The sequence below is a fragment of the Homo sapiens genome, chromosome 2 (genome assembly GCF_000001405.40).
Source record: "Homo sapiens chromosome 2, GRCh38.p14 Primary Assembly".
Lineage (NCBI taxonomy): Eukaryota > Metazoa > Chordata > Mammalia > Primates > Hominidae > Homo > Homo sapiens.
Window position 1 is genome coordinate 190,489,902 of NC_000002.12, and position 22,877 is coordinate 190,512,778.

The 22,877-nt window shown below is 38.6% G+C and overlaps 2 protein-coding genes across 25 annotated transcripts in view; one reads left to right on the forward strand and one right to left on the reverse strand.

The window, feature by feature from the left end:
- The window catches only part of MFSD6 (major facilitator superfamily domain containing 6), a 94,739-nt gene extending 82,326 nt beyond the window's left edge, over positions 1-12,413 (forward strand). For 7 of the 12 annotated variants that reach the window (XM_047444824.1, XM_011511368.1, NM_017694.4 and 4 more), the window contains 2 exons: positions 7,538-7,818; positions 10,114-12,413. In XM_047444824.1, coding sequence (XP_047300780.1) covers positions 7,538-7,818; positions 10,114-10,317 — 485 coding nt within the window. In that variant the 3' untranslated portion in view covers positions 10,318-12,413. Of the gene's footprint in view, positions 1-7,537; positions 7,819-9,930; positions 9,956-10,113 lie in introns of all 12 variants that reach the window. The other 5 variants (NM_001375989.1, XM_047444825.1, NM_001375992.1 and 2 more) reach the window with 1 other exon arrangement.
- The window catches only part of NEMP2 (nuclear envelope integral membrane protein 2), a 227,365-nt gene that overhangs the window by 68,481 nt on the left and 136,007 nt on the right, over positions 1-22,877 (reverse strand). For 6 of the 13 annotated variants that reach the window (NR_136298.2, XM_047441958.1, NM_001142645.2 and 3 more), the window contains exons 8-9: positions 20,460-20,636; positions 14,437-19,411 (exon numbers count right to left, since the gene is read on the reverse strand). Coding sequence is in view for 11 of the 13 variants with exons in the window: in XM_047441958.1 (XP_047297914.1) it covers positions 19,288-19,411; positions 20,460-20,636 (301 nt within the window). In the remaining 2 variants the exon portion in view is untranslated. Of the gene's footprint in view, positions 1-712; positions 937-14,436; positions 19,412-20,459; positions 20,637-22,877 lie in introns of those variants that run through there. The other 7 variants (XR_007068185.1, XM_047441941.1, XM_017003100.2 and 4 more) reach the window with 2 other exon arrangements.

Consider the following 22,877-nt stretch of genomic DNA (forward strand, 5'->3'; position numbering starts at 1 on the left):
GTTCAGGCCATGGGAAGTCAACAAATGCCCCGAGAAGCCTAGAAGTGGTACAGAGTATACAACAGGTCTGTTTGGCTCAATTTTCTGAGTGGCGTATCGATGAATTCATGTGGACTATTGTTAAAGAGATCCACCTACTATGCAGAAAAAATATTGTTTTAAGTAGCTTGGGGTTTTCTTGTTTTTTGTTTGTTTGTTTTCTTTTATAATACAAGGTACTAGGGAAGTATTAGTTTTCAATTTCTCTGGTATTCTAAAGGTTTTTCAAATTTAAGTCAAATACATATAAGGCTATACAGTCATTTTGCTACTAGGGATAGGGAGTGAGTGGTAATCTTCTCTATGACTTACCTTCATTTGTTAAAAAAAAAAAAAACAATGGCCGGGTGCAGTGGCTCACGCCTGTAATCCCAACACTTTGGGAGGCCGAGGCGGGTGGATCACGAGGTTAGGAGATCAAGACCATCTTGGCTAACACGGTGAAACCCCATCTCTACTAAAAATATAAAAAATTAGCCGGGCACGGTGGTGGGCGCCTGTAATCCCAGCTACTCAGGAGGCTGAGGCAGGAGAATGGCGTGAACCCAGGAGGTGGAGCTTGCAGTGAGCCGAGATAGCACCACTGCAGTCCAGCCTGGGGGAACGAGCAAGACTCCCTCTCAAAAAAAAAACAAAAAACAAAGACAAAAATGTCAAGACCTGAAATCTGAAGTTTTCTCTGAACCAGGGATGCCTTTATTAAGATTGTTCTACCAAAAGGAGGTTATATCAAATATTAATATGTAGATGAGAATGAGCTGACTCAACTTTTTATGAAAAAGGTCAACCAGGAGGATGAAAATATTTTTGCTCAGTTTTTTGGTCCCAGAACAGAGCTCATCTTCTTTGGGTGTCCTATCCTTTGCGGAGCATTAGCCTCAGGCCCCTGAAATGCTTCTGTGAAGAGAAAAACTTGCTTGTTACAGAAGCCTCAGAGACAGATTTTAATCTCAATGAGTTACTCAGAAAGAGCAATACTGTTTTTTCTTACTTTTGTTCTTTTATAATCCTAAATGGATTCTCTCTCTTACACAGCCTCAGTCCATGCCTCATGTAAAAGACCAATAAAAATAACTATCATGGCTCTCCCAAAGTTATAAGATGTAGTTAAAGTTGTATTTTGAGAAAAATGTATGGACTTGAATATCTTTGCTATTAATCACAAAAAAATTTAAAATCATTAATTAAACATTCAATGTAAGAAACATAAAAATAAGCAATCAAATTTTAACTCATCTTTGATTAGTGAGAATATGGTACTGGGTTAGTTTTTAAAATACTTGTGTTCTGGAGAGACTGTTATTGGGAAAATGGCAAGATAGGAGGCAGGATTAGGTTGCAGCTCACACTCAGGTGGACCGAGTAGCATGTGGAGACTTGCATCATGCTTTTGCTCCAGAACTACTGCAGGAATATACCAGGAAAGCTGAGAGAATACACAGACCCTCTGAAGGAAGCATATTGCTCCTGGAGGACCTGAGAGACAGGCCAAATATTGGGCTGGTATCCAGCTGAGAGACCTAAAGATGGTTCACATCACAGGACTCTATGCAGACAACCCCAGTACCAGCCTGGAGCCTGGTAGCCCTGCTGGGTGGGCTAGATCCAGAAGAGAAATGACAATCACTACAGCCTGGCTGTCAGGAAGCCACATCCCTCAGAAAACAGGGAGAGTACTACATCAAGGGAACACCCTGTGGGACAAAAGAATTGAACAGCAGCCTTGAGTGCCAGCCCTTCCCTCTGCCATAGCCTACCCAAATGAGAAGGAACCAGAACAACAATTCTAGTAATATGACAAAACAAGGTTCTTTAACCTGCCCCAACAAAATCACACTAGCACCAGCAATAGATCCAAACCAAGAAGAAATCTCTGACTTCCCTGAAAAAGAATTCAGAAGGTCCATTATTAAGTTAATCAAGGAGGCACTAGAGAAAGGTGAAGTCCAATTTAAGGAAATCAAAAAAATGATACAAGAAGTGAGGGGAGAAATCTTCAATGAGATAGATAGCATAAATAAGAAACAGTTACAACTTCAGGAAATAAAGGACACACTTACAGAAATGCAAAATGTTCTGGAAAGTCTCAGCAACAGAATCGAAGAAGCAGAAGAAAGAACTTCAGAGCTCAAAGACAAGGTTTTTGAATTAATCCAACGAAGACAAAGAAAAAAGAATTTTAAAAAATGAACAAAGCCTCCAAGAAGTTTAGGATTATGTTAAATAAACAAACCTAAGAATAATTGGAGTTCCTGAGGAAGAAGATACATCTGAAAGTATGGAAAACACATTTGATGAAATAATCAAGGAAAACTTGCTAGAGACCTAAACATCCAAATACAAGAATCCCAAAGAACACCTGGGAAATTCATTGCAAAGAGATCATTGCCTAGGCACATTGTCATCAGGCTATCTAAAGTCAAGAGGAAGGAAAGAATCTTAAGAGCTGTGAGGCAAAAGCACCAGATAACCTATAAAGGAAAACCTCTCAGATTAACAGCAGATTTCTCAGCAGAAACCCTACAAGCTAGAAGGGATTGAGGCCCTATGTTCAGCCTCATAATTAATTTCCATAAATAAATGGAAATTAAATAACCTCCTGAATTATCATTGGGTCAACAGCAAAATCAATATGGAAATTTAAAATTGAACTGAACAATAATAGTGACACAACCTATCAAAACCTCTGGGATACAGCAAAGGCAATGCTAACAAAACAAAACAATTACCAGCCAAGAATTTTGTATCCAGTGAAACTAAGCTTCATAAATAAAGGAAAGATACAGTCTTTTTCAGACAAACAAATGCTGAGAGAATTCACCACTACCAAGCCAGCACTCCAAGAACTACCAAGCCAGCACTCCAAGAACTACCAAGCCAGAACTACAAGAATTTGCCACTCACCACCAAGCCAGCACTACAAGAGCTGAAAGGAGCTCTAAATCTTGAAACAAATCCTGGAAACACATCCAAACAGAACCTCTTTAAAGCATAAATCTCACAGGACCTATAAAACAAAATACAATTAAAAAAAAAAGCAAGGTATATAGGCAACAAATAACACAATGATTGGAATAGTACCTCACATTTCAATACTAACATTGAATGTAAATGGCCTAAATGCTCCACTTAAAAGATACAGAATTGCAGAATGGATAAGAATTCACCAACCAAGTATCTGCTGCCTTCAAGAGACTCGCCTAACACATAGGAACTCACATAAATTTAAGGTAAAGGGGTGGAAAAAGACATTCCATGCAAATGGACACCAAAAGCAAGCAGAAGTAGCTATTCTTACATCAGACAAAGCAAACATAAAAGCAACAGCAGTTAAAAAAGACAAAGGGTGACATTATATAATGATAAAAGGCCTTGCCCAACAGGAAAATTTCACAATCTTCAATATACATACACCTAACACTGGAGCTCCCAAATTTATAAAACAATCACTACCAGACCTAAGTAATGAGATATACAGCAACACAATAATAGTGGGAGACGTCAGTACTCCACTGACAGCACTAGACAGGACATCAAGACAAAGTCAACAAAGAAACAATGGATTTAAACTATACCCTGGAACAAATGAACTTAACAGATATTTACAGAACATTCTACCCAACAACTGCAGAATATTCATCAGTGCATGGAACTTTCTCCAAGATAGACTATATGATAGGCCATAAAACAAGTCTCAATAAATTTAAGAAAATTGAAATTATATCAAGTACTCTCTCAGACCACAGTGGAATAAAACTGGAAATCAACTCCAAAAGGAACCTTCAAAACCATGCAAATAAATGGAAATTAAATAACCTCCTGAATTATCATTGGGTCAACAGCAAAATCAAGATGGAAATTTAAAATTGAACTGAACAATAATAGTGACACAACCTATCAAAACCTCTGGGATACAGCAAAGGCAATGCTAAGGGGAAAGGTCATAGCCTAAATGCCTACATCAAAAAGTATGAAAGAACACAAATAGACAATCTAAGGTCACACCTCAAGGAACTAGAGAAACAAGAACAAACCAAACCCAGCAGAAGAAAGGAAATAACCAAGATGAGAGAATAACTAAATGAAATTGAAGGAAAAAAAATACAAAAAATAAATGAAACAAAAAGCTGGTTGTTTGAAAAGATAAATAAAATTGATATATCATTAACAAGATTAACCAAGAAAAGAAAAGAGAAAATCCAAATAAGCTTAATTAGAAACAAAACAGGAAATATTACAACTGACACCACAGAAATACAAAAGATCATTCAAGGCTACTATTAACACCTTTACATGCATAAACTGGAAAACGCAGAGGAGATAAATTCCTTGAAAGACACAACCCTCCTAGCTTAAATCAGGAAGAATTAGAAACCCTGAACAGACAACTAAGTAGTGAGACTGAATCAGTAATAAAAAAATTGCCAACAAAAAAAAGTCCAGGACCAGATGGAGTCACAGCTGAATTCTATCAGGCATTCAAAGAAGAATTGGTACCAATCCTATTGACACTATTCCACAAGATAGAGAAAGAGGGAATCCTCCCTAAAACATTCTATGAAGCCAGTATCACCCTAATAACAAAACCAGGAAAGGACATAACAAAAAAAGAAAACTACAGACCAATATCCCTGATGAACATCAATGCAAAAATCCTTAACAAAATACTAGCTAATCGAATCCAACAGCATGTCAAAAAGATAATCCACCATGATCAACTGGGTTTCATACCAGGGATGCAGGAATGGTTTAACATATGCAAGCCAATAAATGTCTTTCACCACATAAACAGAATTAAAAACAAAAATCACATGATCATCTCAGTAGACGCAGAAAAAGCATTTGATGAAATCCAGCATCCCTTTATGATTAAAACCCTTAGCAAAATCAGCATACAAGAGACATAACACAGTGAAATAAAAGCCATTTGTGATAAACCCACAGCCAACATAATACTGAACAGGGAGAAGTTGGAAGCATTCCCTCTGAAAATTGGAACAAGACAAGGATGCCCACTCTCACCACTTCTATTCAACATAGTACTGGAAGTCCTAGCCAGAGCAGTCAGACAAGAGAAGGAAATAAAGGGCATCCAAATAGGTAAAGAGGAAGTCAAACTGTCGCTGTTTGCTGATGATAAGATTGTATACCTAGAAAACCCTAAAGACTCCTCCTAAAAGCTCTTAGAACTGATAAATGAATTCAGCAAAGTTTCAGGATACAAAATTAATGTACACAAATCAGTAGCTCTGCTGTACACCAACAGTGACCAAGATGAGAATCAAATCAAGAACCCAACACCTTTTATAATAGCTGCAAAAAATAAAGTATTTAGGAATACACCTAACCAAGGAGCTGAAAGACCTCTACAAGGAAAACTACAAAACACTGCTGAAAGAAATCATACATGACATACACAAATGGAAACATATCCCATGCTCATGGATGGGTAGAATCAATATTGTGAAAATGACCATACTGCTAAAAGCAATCTACAAATTCAATGCAATTCCCATCAAATACCACCATCATTCTTCACAGAACTAGAAAAAACAATCCTAAATTTCATATGGAGCCAAAAAAGAGCCTGCATAGCCAAAGTGAGACTAAGCAAAAAGAACAAATCTGGAGGCATCACACTACCTGATTTCAAACTATACTATAAGGCCATAGTCACCAAAACAGCATGGTACTGGTATAAAAACTGGCCCATGGACCAATGAAACAGAATAGAAAACCCATAAATAAAGCCAAATACAGCCAACTGATATTTGACAAAGCAAACAGAAACATAAAGGGGGAAAGGATACTCTATTCAACAAATGGTGCTGGGATAATTGGCAAGCCACATGTAGGAGAATGAAACTGGATCCTCATTTCTCACCGTATAAAAAAATCAACTCAAGATGGATCAAGGACTTAAATCTAAGACCTGAAACTTAAAATTCTAGAAGATAACATCAGAAAAACCCTTCTAGACATTGGCTTAGGCAGAGATTTCGTGACCAAGAACCCAAAAGCAAATGCAACAAAAACAAAGATAAATAGATGGGACTTAATTAAACTAAAGAGCTTTTGCACAGCAAAAGGAACAGTCAGCAGAGTAAACAGACAACCCACAGAGTGGGAGAAAATCTTCAGTCTATATATCCGACAAAGGACTAATATCCAGAATCTATGACGAACTCAAACAAATTAGCAAGAAAAAAAAAAACACCAAAGAGTGGACTAAGGACATGCATAAACAATTCTCAAGCAAAGATACACAAATGGCCAACAAACATGAAACAATGGTCAACATCACTAGTGATCAGGGAAATGCAAATCAAAACCACAATGTGATACCACCTTACTCCCACAAGAATGGCCATTATCAAATAATCAAAAAATAATTGATGTTGGTGTGGATGTAGTGAAAAGGAAACACTTCTACACTGCTGGTAGGAATGTAAGCTGTACAAACACTATGGAAAACAGTGTGGAGATTTCTTAAGAACTAAAAGTAGAACTACCATTTGATCCAGCAATCCCACTACTGGGTATCTACCCAGAGGAAAAGAAGTCATTATATGAAAAAGATACTTGTACATGCATGTTTATAGCATCACAATTGCAAAAATGTGGAACCAGCCCAAATGCCCATCAATCAATGAGTGGATAAAGAAACTGTAGTGTGTGTATGTATGTATATGTGTGTATATATATGTATATGTGTATATGTGTGTGTATGTGTGTGTGTATATACACACACACACATATACATACATACACAATGGAATACTACTCAGCCATAAAAAGGAATGAATTAATGGCATTCACAGCAACCTGGATGGAACTGGAGACCATATTCTAAGTGAAGCAACTCAAGAATGGAAAACCAAACATCGTATATTCTCACTCATAAGTGGGAGCTAGGCTATGAGGATGCAAAGGCATAAGAATGATATGATGGACTTTGGGGACTCAGGGGAAAGGGTGGGAAAGGGGTGAGGGATACAAGACTACAAATTGGGTTCATTGTATACTGCTTGGGTGATGGTTGCACCAAAATCTCACAAATCACCATTAGAGAACTTACGTAACCAAATACCACCTGTTCCCCAAAAACCTGTGGGAATAAAACATTTTTTAAAAAATAACTATCACGTGGCTTTTCCTGTTTTGACGTCTTTTTAATCATAATCCTGTAAATGGGCCTAAGGCAACACTCATTATAACCTATGCCCCACTGATGTTCTAAGTTAAATGAAAAATATATTTCTTAAATATATATGCTAATGTCTATTAAGGCCTATAAAGAGACCCAAAGATAAACATCATGTTCATTGATTCAGTACTTACACCAAGTAATGAAGTCATTGGTAACCAGCAATTTATTAATATTATCAAGCACTCTGGAATGGGTATATGGGATTCTTGGTTTATTTATTTATTTTTACCTTTGTTCAAATATGTAGAAAATGCTGAAAAAATAGTTTAAACATTCTTTTCTCTCCAGACAAGACAATGTTGGCAGAAAGAATTCCTGTTCCCTCCAGTCCCGTTCCTATAGCAACCATCGACTTGGTACAGCAACAGACAGAAGATGTCATGCCACGCATTGAGCCCAGACTTCCACCCAAGAAAACTAAGCACCAGGAAGAACAGGAAGATGTGAACAAACCAGCCTGGGGAGTCAGCTCTTCTCCCTGGGTGACCTTTGTCTATGCACTCTACCAAATTAAAGAGATGATGCAACTCACAAGAGACAACCGTGCTTCTGAGATACAGCCTTTACAGGTACAGTTCCTTTGCTGGGCTAGCAATATTACCTGTCACTCAAGATACCTTAACTGGGCTCAGTTTTAATTACTCACTTTTCATTCAACAAGATTTATTGAAAGTCTGGTGGGGGAAATAGACATGCAAACAATTTCAGTACTCTGTGAGCACTGAGTTAAAGAGGGTGTATACAAGGTCCCATAGAGAGAATATTCTGCCTTATGGAGTTCAGGAAAACTTCAGAGGTTATGATTCTTTCACTTCTTGAAAGAAATAAAATAAATTAATCCATTCTTTCATTGTATATTTGTTTTAAATTTCAGTATTGATGGTTGTCTCTGTAATTCCAAAATTCTAGTGGGGGCATTATATTATAGGACCACAATAAATATTTGTTGAATTAATTAATCTGAGCCACTGTATGGGTCTGATAGGACACCTAACTCAGTGGAATTATGGTTATGCAGGTGGCCTCACCTGAAAAATAAGTCTAAAAGTGTGATTTTTCTTGTCCCCAGAGGAGTGATCTTTCCTGAGTAAAGTTAAAGCATGTTGATAAAAGTGTGGATAATTGTACAGGTGTATCCCGACTTTGGAAAATGAGTGTAACTTCTATAAACAATTTAGCCAAAGAAATAGGCTCAGTTCCCCCATCTCATGATAATCACTCCCTTTTATTTGATAAGTCACGTCAGCTTTGTCTGGAGTAGCTTCAGAGGACACATAAAAATAAAGGGGAAAGATTTAAAAATAAGGGTCATTTGAGTAATTCCCCTTTCAGAAAATTTGTTGAACTGTTAATTAATCTCACTTTGTAAGCTAACATAAAATCTTTGTGAAATTTTAACCAAATCTGGTTCTTTACTGATAACCATATGCATGCTAGTCCATGCATGATCCTATTTATTAATTTATCAAGATAATAAACTCACATCATTACTCTGCTCAGTCAAGAACCAGATATTGTGGTGGGAGATGCATATGGAGGATTTTAATACCTTAAAGCAAGAAGACTAAACAGGAGAAAGGATGATTTTAATATCTGCTGCTTGAGTAGCAATATTTTCATTACTTTGTGTACTCATCCTCATTTTCACAGAAGCCACATAAAATTTTTGATGTGGCGCTTTTTTTCTGGTATGTTAGGATTAATAAATTTTTTTCTGGGCTGGGCATGGTGGCTTATGCCTGTAATCCAAGCACTTTGGGAGGCCGAGGTGGGTGGATCACGAGGTCAGGAGTTCAAGACCAGCCTGGCCAAGATGGTGAAACCCCGTCTCTACTAAAAATATAAAAATTAGCTGGGCATGGTGGCGGGTGCCTGTAATCCCAGCTACTATGGAAGGCTGAGGCAGAGAATTGCTTGAACCCAGCAGGAGGAGGTTGCAGTGAGCCAAGGTCACGCCACTGCACTCCGGCCTAGGCGACAGAGTGAGACTCCGTCTCAAAATTATAATAACAATAATAAATAAATAAATAAAATGTTTCTGGTATGTTAGGATTAATAAAAACTGGCAGGTATGCTGTAGTTATTCTTAGAAGTCATTATACTAAGTTTCTTTTTCTTTCATTGTAGAATCACAGAAATGAACATTTTTATTTGGGTGTTCAGCCAAAAAGTGATGGGTACTAATTTGGGGGAGAATCCATTTAAATTTTTTTTTATTTGTACAACCAATATGGCATTTATGGAAATTGCTGCTGGTGATGTTCTACTCATGGTTATTTACAGTTGGTTACACAAGTGCTTGTTTACATTCACTTCTTTATGTGGATGTTCTGTCTTATCTAACTTTTGGTGCACATTTTGAAATACCAAATATATATCAGGACTCTTAATTACAGGACATTCTTTCCCAGCTCTGCCTCCAAGGATAAGAACCCCTTATTTACCTCCTGTTAGACAAAGTGTCTTCTGGCTCTTGGATTCTGTGGTCTTAGCAAGCGGCCTGAGTTTCAGTTATTCCATAGTGCTTGCCCAGCGACTTGCCACATGGCTTGGGGGGCTCAGTAAATATTTGCTGATGTAAACTGTTTACCAAGTACTAACAGACATTTTGGTAGTAATGTTCCTTTTTCCACAAGACACGTCTGCTTATAGTGTTTGTGTTTTTCATGCGGCTCTGGCAGTTGCACATAGGAAAGGAGATGAAAGGTAAGACATTCTATCCTTATTCCTCTATTACTTGGTCCCTGAAATGGGCACTTCCGGATGATCTCCCCATGTTTCCTGTCTTACTTGAAAGCATATATAAAAAGTTGGATTTATTTGCTATCACTGATCATGGGGCATCTCCTGTTTTTTACCTCCAGGGGACCAATGAGAATAGGGAAAATTCTCCTGCTGGTAGAGCCCAGCCTGTCCCATGTGAGACTCACTCTGACCCATCTAGAAACCAGCCATCCCCTGACGCAGCAGCATCTCAGACGCAGACCAGCCCCGCTCACCCCAGTGTGGACCCGTGCACAGAGGAGAGTGAAGAGCAGCAGGCTCAGCTGGCCGCGGGAGGACACTGAGGGCATCCTGCTCATCTCACACCCTGCATGGAATCAGGCTCCTCAGCCAGGACACAGGGTGAGGCCCCCCAGCCAGGATATGCCTCCCCTGGAGGAGCACAGCACTGCATATGCTTCTAAATATCTAAACTCATTAACATGGAAACACACACACAGGAGCTACAGTACATATTGGCAGGAAAAGGTAAACTTTCGTAATCTCATTGGAATTACAACAGGGAAATGGAGTTCAATGAGGACTTTCAGTTCTTTGCTTGGTTAGGTTAAGGATGATAGAATTTCTCTGCCAGTGCAGTAAGAGTTGAAACCGGCAGTTACACTAAGTAAGTGGAGGGAATGAAAGTGTTTCGAGGTGAATGTGGATATAATTTCCCTCTTCTGATTATTTATTCTTATTTGGTTCCTAACACAAACTGGGAAGAGATAGAATTCATCTATACTTTCTTTTTTCTTGGAGAGAACCGTTTAAAAAATTACAAGATATATTTAAAAAGTAACCAGATAAAAGTAGCACATGTGCTTTTGTTAAAAATAAAGTTAAAAGTTAAAGTTAAAAAATGAAGTTAAAAGTTTCATCAGAAACTTTACATATCTTTAGCAAATATATTTTTATATGTGTATGGCATATAATGGAAATAATTCTTTGAGCAACAGAAGCTATTATTAACTACTGCAAGCTAAGCCGAGCTTAAAAATGCCTTTTGTTTTAAATGGGCTTTGAGAAAAAAAACAGAAACAAGCGATTATTTCAAATCAACCAACCAACTCAGTATCCTGTGTTTTGATAGACAAGAGTTTACTAAATATATTGATACTGTAAATAGCCTCTCTCGCTATTTACTATCTTATAGTAATTCAGGCTCTAATTAGCTGAGGGAATGAAACACACAAAAATCACTGAATTCCTAAGAGTTCCTTAAATAAGCAGTACTAGTTACAAATCACAGTATAAGATTTAAGTGCCTGGGGGAAGGATACAATTTTTAGAAATTACATATTGGGTCAGTTTTGTTTTGTTTTTGGTGAGGAAAAGGTGGTAAATAGGAAACCATGAATGGGAAGGATGGCAATAAGTAGCAACTATACTTTCCAATGACTAAAGAAAGAAAATCTCAGTATATTCGTTCTCATGAAGACACAGTCAGACACTGGACAATGTAATGTATGCAACTGCAAACGTTACAACTGCAGCCAGAACAATGGCTGGGTGGATCGCACGTAAAGCTTGCCACTAAAAATCAAAGCAGAGGTTAACAGGAAACCTGGGGGGAGTGTGGAAAAGGGAAAACTGTTTTAGCTGAATAAAGGTGAATTATATAATTTATAATAGCTGTGGATGAGCACAGGAGAGAGAGGAAAGAAAAGAACAGTCGAAATGAGCAACTCACCTTACCCTCTGACCCTGATTAGACAGGATCAATTGTAAAGTGAGGGCTTCTCCATGACACCATAGTTCTGCCCAATACTGCATTTGGGATAAGAAATTCTACACTTGGATGTCTCGCTTCACAATAAAACACAGCTTAAAAATAAAATAACTGAAAGAAATAGAATTCAGCAAATAGTTATTTTTTGCACTTGAACTGAAACGTACTGTACTGTAAATTATGACTCATTTTAAGTGACCTTTAAAATCAGATGTATTTATTATGCTTGTGTAATTATAGAAATAAAGAAATGGGTGACAGGCTTAACCTCACCTATGAATGTACAGTATGTGGATTTGTGAAACTGACTGTAGGAAGTCAAAAACTTGTACTGTATCTTGTGTTTACAGTTCTGATTTATTCCTTTGAAAAGCCTGCTGTTTTGGAAATGCACAGTTGACATGTTGAAATAAAAATGAATACCATTTTTAAATGTTTCTTAAATGATAAAGATGTGACCAAACAAAAGTCCTATACTCTAATGAATGAGACCAAATTCAACATGCCTTTGTTATGGAACATTTACTGTGACAGCAGAATCGATAATGCAGTCATTTCCAGCCTTGTGAGCTGACACCTTCATGGGTTTGTGGACTTTGTGACTTTTTCTTCCTGTCCCCAAAGTGCCATATGCTACCTTAAAAAATATTAAAGTGAATTCAAATTACATTTTGATTTGAGATTTTGTAACCCCTCTTGAGATCCCTCAACACACACAGGGGTGTCACAGAGCCCAGGCTGGTAATCACTGCCTTAATGACTTACTTCCTACTCTTTCTCCTATGGTTGTAGAAACAGTAAATTACCGAGTGCTGAGCTTGTGTGGATCCAAAGTGGTTAACTGCTAATTATTGAACTATTCCTCAAGTTTTAGGAATAGATTATAATACATACATTGTCCAGCAGGCAGTAAACCTCATGAAAAGTGTTAAGGAATTCACAGGAAGAGCAACCCTGCTTTACTGGCTTATTAATCCTGCCATGGGTCACATGAAGTGGATAGCTGGCTAATAGCTTCCCTCTAATTGGCAATTCCTTCCAGTACTGCTGAGGTACTGAGACCATTACTTAGGCAATATTCCTCTCTGCCAATTTGGAGTTCAGCAGGGAATCTAGGAAAAGGGAACCACATCCGTGGATATTGGGTGCTTGTAGTGTGCTGATGAGATTATCATTTTGCCCTTAACAAAAACTGGAGGTGTTCCTATCACTATCCCCATTTTAAACAAGAGAATTCTGAAGCTAACAGTTTAAGTTATGAGATCAAGGTCACAAAGCCAGGATTCAAACTCAAATCTTCCTAATGTCAAAGCCCTGGTCCGCTTAGCACCTTACCCCACCCCAGGAGGCAGGGAGGCCATTCCCTGCATCTGTTATGGCAGAGGAAGCCATAAAGCAGCCCAGCCTGAACCATTACCATACATGCCTGATATGTGTATGTGTGTGGTTGTATTTCCATTTAGGATTTCTAGATATTCCTAGATTCCTAGAAATGCTTCAAATTCCTGATGCTTTGTGAAATGTAGGTACACCAGACCCTTTACACTCTGCAGGTGAGTTGGCTGGACTGATAACTGCACAGGAAACCCAGAGGTTGGTAGGGACTCTGGCCAGGGCCATGGAAATCAGGAAGGGAAAGCAGACACACCCACAGCTCTGTACTGTCCGGTAGGACTTACTGGGAAGATGGGAAGTTCTCTATTTACACTGTCCAGGATGGTAACCATAAGCCATATGTGGCTATTAAACAACTGACATGTGGCTAATTTTCTGGGGAATTAGGTTTCTAATTAATTTTAAATAGCCACACGTGGCTCAAGGCTACCATACTGGACAGCACGGGTATACAGGAAGAGATCCTTTCGGGAGATCTCTGGGCCTGTTTCCTCAGCTTCAGTGTGAGAGGTTAGAGCTTAAGGTTATGTTGATTCTATGAAAATGAAGGTATGCTTTGACAGTGACTGTAGGGAAGAAAGAGGTGATTTTCCATTTGGAAGTTCTTCAGCCCTTTGGAGCATGGAGACAAGACAAAGGCTACTTCTGAAGCCCCAAACCACTCCTGGGCTTGTTTAGCAAAGCCTTGAGAATATCTGGCTTAAGAATTCCAAACCATGGGGCAGTTGGGAGAGAGGCTGGTGCCTAGGTGGGGACAGAAAAGGGGTGAAAGGGGGAGTGGTTTGTCAGATCTCAGAAAGTAATTTACACTATGCCAGGACAAACTGTGGCTTCTTATAAGGGAGTAACTGGAAACTTGCTGATGTCTAACATGGGGGGAAAGTGAGCCAGTCCGGCTAAGTGCCAGTCCAGCTGTGTACCTAACTCTCAACCAGCTGCCATCTGCTTCAAGCAGCTAATATAGGACCACTTGTCCCCCACTGTGGCTCCAGGAAAGTCCCAGTTTTTAGATGGCAACCCAAGGACCTTACAATGTTGGGGTTAGGAGTGTGCGCCCTGGAGTCACACTGTTTGCATTTGAGTCCCAGCTCTGCCAGTGAGAACTTACACACACATAGAACATCTCTGGGCCTCAGGACCCACCTCTGTAAAACGGAAGTGATTACAGTAGGTATGTAACAGGTTGATGTTTAAAATGAGTTATCTGACATACAGTGTGTGCTCCATAAATACTGCCATTGTTGTGCAGCAAAGAGCCCGGGGCAGGAGGAGCGCTGTCTCATTTCCCCAACCAGGGTCTAGTTCTATTATTTTATTGCCATTTAAATCTATAATCATATTCCATTCTCCCAATCTACAGTGCCATACTATACATATTTACCTATATCTAGTAAGCTGTACAGTAAGGCATTCAATTCCAACATGCATTGTAAACATTAAGTGGTTGGGGATATGAGTTAGTTAAGAGACAAAATTAAGCAAAACTTAAGTTGAAGAGGATGGAAAAAAGTGATGATGGTGACAATTCCATAAAGTGCAAAAGTCTGCTGAGAGAGGTTATAAGTTTCATAATTTTCATTTTTCTTTTTCTTCTTAAAGGTGTCAACAAAAGTAAACAATTTTATAATCATTTAACAAATTATATACCATACTCTCTCCAATAGTCAGTGTAGGATGCTATTCTTTTAAATTGTAAACTTACATTTGAAAAAAGGTCGGATTTTTTTTGTTTCCTGAAAAGATCACTGGCATCTTAGAAAAATAACATGTAGACCAGTGCTACTCAAAGTGTGCTCAATGACTGGTGCTGTCAAACTACTGCTGGTATGTGACAACATAGAAATTAGACATTTCAAAATATGTATGGCAAGTTGACATTGTCATGACATGATCATCGTGCTTATATTCTGTATGTCTTTTCTTTCAAAGATTATTTCATTTTTCTAATAATTTAGTGTATCTTACAAAAGTATTACTAGTGATGAACTAGAGGGAAACTGGTCCATCACCCCAGACAGTCTGAGAAGCACTGACAAGAGCCGCAGACTACAGTGTCCATTGCTGCGGGGCACAAATGACTGGTATGTGTATAACATCAGCAGATGTAGTCACCTCTTGAATGCCTTATCCATGGGGTCATTTCCTTCACTTTCTTAAAAAGATGGTAATAAATAAAGGAAGTAGAATATGAGCCCTGGAAGCAGACATATGGGGGCTTGAATTCTGATTCTACCACTTTAGCTATATGTGTCCTTCAGCAACTTTCTCCTACCTTCTCTGGGTCTTTCCTCATCTGTAAAATGAAAATACCAAAACATATCACAGAGTGGTCATGAGGTGCAAATTAAGAGGTATCGAAGGTGCCTCATATAGTGCCTGATGGATCTCTAGTCAATGTTGGTATTCTTTCCCTTTCTCTTTTCAATCAGTCTTTCTTTTTTGGAAAAACGACCAAATCTAAAAAAACAGATGCCTCAAATTATTTAAATAATAGAGAAGCTACCCACTAACTGTATCTTCCAAGATTTATATTAGATAAGTATAGTATTCATTTCAAATCTCTGGTGACCTATTAAGGTTTCACATTCAGGGATCATAACAAAAAAAATACAGTTACCTTTAAAAGATAATCCAACTCCTAGGCCAGAGAAAGACTAAAGATTTTAACACATCTGAGTAAAAATATGCCCATCAGAGGGGGTGGGATGTTTGTCAATAATGAAGATTAGAAAAACAGCAGTCACAGAGAGGAAAAAGTTGGCAGGACCTGCATAAAGGAAGGCGTGGTCTTTGTCAACAGACCTGGTATCTCATCCCATTAACAAGGCTAGCCCCACTGGGGTGGGGGGTGGCATCTGCATCAAACTCTTTGGCCTCATGACATTAACCATGTGAATTATATAACAAGCTCCCTTTGTTTTGTTTCAGTTCACCAAGTAGCCACCTTATTATAATTTGACCCCTTGTAAATCTGTCTTCTGAGAGAGAATCTGCTGGTCATATCAAGTCAAGTGTTTTTATCCTTATGCTAGTTATATTTTTGGTTGTGAATCACTACCTGTACCAACTATATGAATTGACTAACAAGAGACAGGTCTTATGGTGCAATAACAAAAAGCAGGGTTCTAAGTCAATAAGGCTAACAGTCACACCCAAATAGTTCACTCTTCAATGTCATGCCACCCAGCAGGCTCTCTCAGAAGGCAGCTTGCTCCTGTTGTCACCTAAAAGTACCTCTCTGTCTTCCTGCAGGTGTCTTCAAACTTCCACATCCATTATGTTGTCTATCTTGCTTTCAGTTGGACAAGAAAAGCTAATTTATAAAATTGTACATCTCTCACTCTGGGAAACAATCACACATAGCATAATGTAAGAGAGCATTTCTTTAGTTGACATCATTTCAGGATCTTAATTCCTCCACATATTTAGATATTTTTATGTAATCCATCATCTATTCCAAACCCTCTTAAAATCTAAATATATGAAATTTCCAGATTTTTTTAAAAAGTCATAAATTGAAATATTGTCCTTCATGTCAGATGGACATTCCCCTGTAATTCAGCCCTAGGTATTACTGGCAAACCATACAACTAATTCACAAAGCATTTTTTGTGATATGTAAAATGTGTTTTAAAACCTTTTAAAAATAACACTTGAATGATACGATTGTTTAAGCATAGCCACCTACACTATATCTCACCCACACATCTGGTGTCAAAGAGTTCAACTTGCTAACAACAGTAAGCTTTTGTAGGCACCAAGCATAAGCAGTAAAATAACAAAGGGATCTGTTAGGCTCCATAATTATACACCTATGGTGTGTGAGGCACAAAGCCAACTTCCAACCACCTGTGAAGGGCAGAGCCATTTTATTGAGTGGTCGTTTAAACTGTTCAAAGGCCTTTAAAAAGGGAGGAGGAGAGGAGACAGGAGGTGAGGGAGAAAGAGAAGGGAAGGGAGGAAAGAAAGGAGGGAAACATTTCTTGGAAGAGTTATCTGTACATTGCTTGATGGGGATTAGAATTGTGATCAGTACTATAATACACCCCCAAATCAAATGAAAACAACATAAATACACTAAAAATATCACAAGTAATGCTTCTAATTGTTTAGCTTCTCACAGTAGTCACAAAGCAGAAACTGACAAACCTATGATTTCCTCTAAAAATAAACATGGAAAACAATATCCTCAAGGACTGCTGTTGTTCTTCTCTCTTTGGCTGTTTTTACTGTGATGGTTACACCTGGCTAGCTGCCCATGAAGAGCTGCTTCCTTCCCTCAGCAGTACCTCTTCCCCCTGGCCCAGCGGCTGTCCTGGCTGGGATGTACCTGGCAGCCCCAGCAGATTGTTCATGTGTTATTTACTCATACGCATACGTTGTAGCACACAAACTGCTTCTTAGGAGACGAACTTGGTGAGCACAGGCACTGATACATCTGATACATTTATATCACCAATAAATATAATTTAAAAAAACAGATTAAACCATAAGAAAAATATTCAAACTTCTATTTACTCATAAAATAGTTACCATAAATCTGAATGGAAAATATATCCTTTGGTTTTTTAAAAATCCAAGTCTATATAAAGGCAGATTAACTTTAGTGGATATTACAAAAAAAAAAGTTCCCAGTATGAAAAGATGTCTGGCAAAAACAGACCTGTAAATACTTCAAAGAGGAACTATCATTTGAAAATCAATCTAGGAAGTTCCAGATGGATAGTCATGCTCTTTTTTCATGATTTAGAAAAACTACTTAATTTGGCTCAGGAAAGCAGCAGTGCCAAAATTCTGTCTATCCTTCGCCCATAACCTTTGTCCTGATAAAAAGATTATTTTTATGATCCCATCACAGGAAAAAAAGCCTGATTTTGATTCTCAGAATCAACTTAGCAACATCTTAACCCTGAGATTGTCTTGCCATGTTCAAATCTTTCCTCAGATCTATGTTTTGGCCTTCTTTCCTCAGGGTCAAAGCTCATAGCCCCTCATTTCAATCTGGAGTTTAATATCATGAATCAAGAAAAAAAATCATTTTATAAGAAATTGTTACAAACACCTATAGCTAAACAATTTTTTAAATGGATCAGTCAATTCAAAATATCACAAGAGCTTAAGTGCCTTCAATTTCAAAATACAAAAAAAGTAATCATAGTATCTAATCCTTACGTATGTATATAAAAATCTTACGTATGTATAAAAAACTTTAAAATGTCTTCAGAAACATTTCCCTTTATCACAGTTAAATAGCAAGTTGGCCATTATTGAAAAATAAAAAGTAAAGCCACCAACATTGTGAGGCCCATGGCTGTAGGGAGATGGCTCCTAAGCTTGCACCTGAAGATCTTGTCTACCTGAGTCAAAGGATACATCAGGGCTGGATTTCTACCAGTGCTGCATCTCAGTGTGGTCTTGCACAAGTTATTTAACCTCTCATGAGCTCAGTTCCACCACCATTAGCATTTTCCAAACGTGTTCCAAGGAATATTAATCTCATGAAAAAGAGTTCTGTGGTCAAATTAAGCAAGAAACTGCAGCACACAATTTCTCCCCTTTGGGAGATTCACAGTGCACACGAGCATTATGAATGCCTCTGAGAGATACTGAAATACATTAGTTTAACTTTATATCAATCTTAGTTGACCTCAGAATACCTTTATTGACCAACACTTGGTAGTAGCCTGTGAGCTGTACTTTGGAAAACACTGGTCCAGCATGTCTCAGGTCTCTTTAAGGACTTATACTGACGAACTATAGGAAGAGTATTGCAGAGTCTTCTGACACAGGTTCAGGGGATTAAGACCAGATTTAGTGCCCTGGTGTCGACAAAGCACCTGTTCATGCTTACTAGCCCCTTAAGAACAACGCCATTCCCCTGTTCCTAATGAAAGCCTTCATTCAAGGTAAGTGGTAGTGGCTGTCACAGAATTTTGGTATCCACCTACAGTACAATAAGTAGCAGAAGTCACCAAGAATGCTAAGTTATCTTCAAAATGGGTTGGTTTCCCTTTCCAGACTGACTTGTTTTTCTCCACAGCAAATGTTTTTGCCACCGTTCACTAGAACAGTTCTGCCTAACTTTAATAGAATCCCTGCCCTTTGCCCACTTCCTTGTCCAGAATGAAGTCAACTTGAAGGTCGCATGTCAGGCAGTACTCGGGTTAAAGAGCTGCTCTTCCAAGAAGGCACCCCCAAGGCCATACTGCTCTTCATGCAGACTGATTTCTTCAGGTGACAAGTGGCTTCCTCCAAGAACAAAGTCTGCAAATCTAACAAGTTTTTTGTTTTAAATAAAGTTAATGTTATCTCAGGAAGGTTTATTTGAAAGATAACATGTTCCCTTGCTATTTATCCCCTTTAATTAAATTTGACTTTGCATCAATACAGGGTGGCATTTACACAGTGGGTGTAAAAATGGGAATGGCTTATGTGATCCCTCTAAAAACAGCTATTCATGGAAAGGGCAGAGAATTAGGGCAGATATATAAGCACTAAGTAAGCCAAATGTACTCACTCCTGTTTTCTAATTCCTTCTTGTCTCTATTTTTTATTAGTTTGAATTTATTATTATTCATTATTTTGTTTCAAATACTTCCCCCTTCCATCTTTAATTTGAGGGCACTGTTATTTGGATAAAGTTATGAGGAAGAGAAAGCAATAAGGAAAAATTTTGGGACAGACGTCTTTCTTAGTGAACTTTAAAAATGATTTTCCAGCTGGGTGCGGTGGCTCATGCCTGTAATCCCAGCACTTTGGGAGGCCAAGGCAGGCAGATCACGAGGTCAGGAGTTAGAGACCAGCCTGACCAACATGGTGAAACCCCATCTCTACTGAAAATACAAAAATTAGCCGGGCATGGTGGCGCCCGCGCCTTGTAATCCCAGCTACTCAAGTGGCTGAGGCAGGAGAATTGCTTGAACCTGGCAGGCGGAGGTTGCAATGAGCTGAGATTGCACCATTGCACTCCAGCCTGGGTGACAGAGCAAGACTCCATCTAAAACAAAACAAAACAAAAAAGATTTTCCCCACCAATAGGGTGAGAAGCAGGTCACACATCCTATTCCACCTTCCCTTCGCATAGGGAAGTTATCTTTATAGCCTTCCCTATAAAACATCAGATAAATATTTATTCTGACATCAGCAGTTCTACTGTGCAAAGTCACAGTACTGAGAAAAGGGACCTCTGACAACTTCCACATCATCTGTTATCCAGGGAAACAGTCTATTTCTACCCTGAAGTGCCTGTACCAAACCATCATATTATTTTTTAAATCATTCTGAACTAAACTATGGTCCGAGCAGCAGAGCGGGACTTACTTGCTAGGAGTGTGGAGTCTGGAGACGACCAGCCATGAGGGAAAGTCGGGTTTTCGGCAGGCCCGGCGTAGCTCCTCCAGAGCACTGTTCGTTTCAGCATCAGCTTGCTCCCTGTACTCGTCTTCCGTAAGATATTTCACCACCAGCTCTTTTGATGTAAACCACTGCTCCATTTTCCTAAAACATGGCATGTGGTTGCAGGATTACTTCCTAATTCAATCCTTAAGATTTACAAAAATAGGCCAGGCTCGGTGGCTCACGCCTGTAATCCAGCATTTTGGGAGGCCTGGGGAGGCGGATCACGAGGTCAGGAGATTGAGACGGTCCTGGCTAACAAGGTGAAACACTGTCTCTACTAAAAATATAAAAAATTAGCTGAGCATGGTGGTGGTCGCCTGTAGTCCCAGCTACTTGGGAGGCTGAGGCAGGAGAATGGCGTGAACCTGGGAGGCAGAGGTTGCAGTAAGCCGAGATCGCGCCACTGCACTCCAGCCTGGGCGACAGAGGGAGACTCCGTCTCAAAAAAAAAAAAAAAAGATTTACAAAAATACATTTCTTAGATGGTAACAGTAATAATACTTCTTAACTTCCTCTATATCATATCTATACTTTTTTATTGCTGTTATCATGACTGAGGTATAGAGAACATGTAGTTTGGGCCTAATAGTGTATTTCCCCATTTCCTGGACTATCATAAATAATGTCCTAAGGTATTTGAGAATCAATTTCTGATACAGATGTTAATTGTATTTTTCTTCCTCGGTGATTTCTAATCACAGAGGCAATTAAAAGCTTGTTTTGTTTTGTTTTTTTATGCTTGGCCTGTTGATTTTCTTGGGCACTAATAGAAGCAAGCTTTTGAGATGTCCTTTTATGCAGACCCTCTAGAACACTGACCATTTACTCTCCACACCAAGAACCTGGGAGGATTTGTGGGATATCACTTCCACCTAGTGGTGGTGATTCTAATCCTAGAGAGAAAGAGCAAATATTGTACAAAATTTATAGTAATTTTTCCTGTATTACATGACGAGTGGATCATGATTAGAACTTTCTTTTTCCAACCAAGAAAATCCTAAATCTCATAAAATGTAGGAATCTAAAAATTTAGGAATCTAAGACTCTCATAAAAATAGTAACAATAATAAGGTTTTTAAAACATTTGTTTTATTTATTTTTTAAATTAAATTTAATTTTTTTTTTTTTTTTTTTGAGCCAGAGTCTCGCTCTGTTGCCCAGGCTGGAGTGCCGTGGCACAATCTCAGCTCACTGCAATGTCCACCTCTGGGATTCAAGCAATTCTCCTGCCTCACCCTCCTGAGTAGCTGGGATTACAGACGCACGCCACCACGCCCGGCTAATTTGTGTATTTTTTAGTAGAGATGGGGTTTCACCATGTTGGTCAGGCTGGTCTCAAACTCTTGACCTCATGATCCATCCACCTCAGCCTCCCAAACTGCTGGGATTACAGGCATGAGCCACTGCGCCCGGCCTAAAACATTTGTTTTATTTATAATGAGTTTTTAAAAATATTTTGAGGTGGTTTTAAATTTAACCAGAGATTTTGAAATATAAATGAGCATCAGAATTATTAGGATATATTTATATAATATATATTTAAGTATATATATATTTTTTCTTGAGGGTTAGGATTGATAAATCTATTATCTTTTAAAGATCTTATAGTTGATGAGCTAGATCAAGGAAACAGTGATATAATCTCCTTCTGCTTTTCTGAATACCTGTGCATGGTTTCCCTGAAGGAAAAACCCTGGATGCTAAGCCAGAAGACCTGGACATAGTCCTGGCTTTGAGATTTATTCACTATATGAACTTGGGGAATTCCTTAACAGTTCAGAGCCTCACTTTGCTCATATGAAAAAAATTAAAATGAAAGCAATAATATCTCCCTCATCTACTTCATAGGTCACTGTACAGGTTAAATGAGATATTTTGTGTAGGGTTCTTAGCACTGTAAGTGGCCTATAGTAGGTGTTCAATAAGGATAATCAAAAGAGTAGTTACCATATACTATTAAAATATAAGTAAACAGCTCTTTGCAACTAGAAAGTACTATACAAAATAAAGGTATTATTTCTCTGGTGTGTTATTTAACCTATAAGTTCCTGTTTCATCCCCTAATTCTTTATATAATTATTCACTAGCAAAATTTTAAGTTGAGGAAGTTATAGTACATTTTGATTATTATAGAACACAGCTAGTGCACAAAAGAACCATTGTGCAGAACACACTCTGCTCTTGGCAGGGAGCTGGATGGTTAAAGGGAAGGAAGAAGGAACTCTATCCTGAGTTCCTCAGGCCACAAGCCTGGCAAAGGGCCAGGGACCTGGAAGATGTTGGGGGACCAGCCTCACTGACAAAAGACCTCTGGTGTTCCGAGTCACTGTTTGCCTCGGG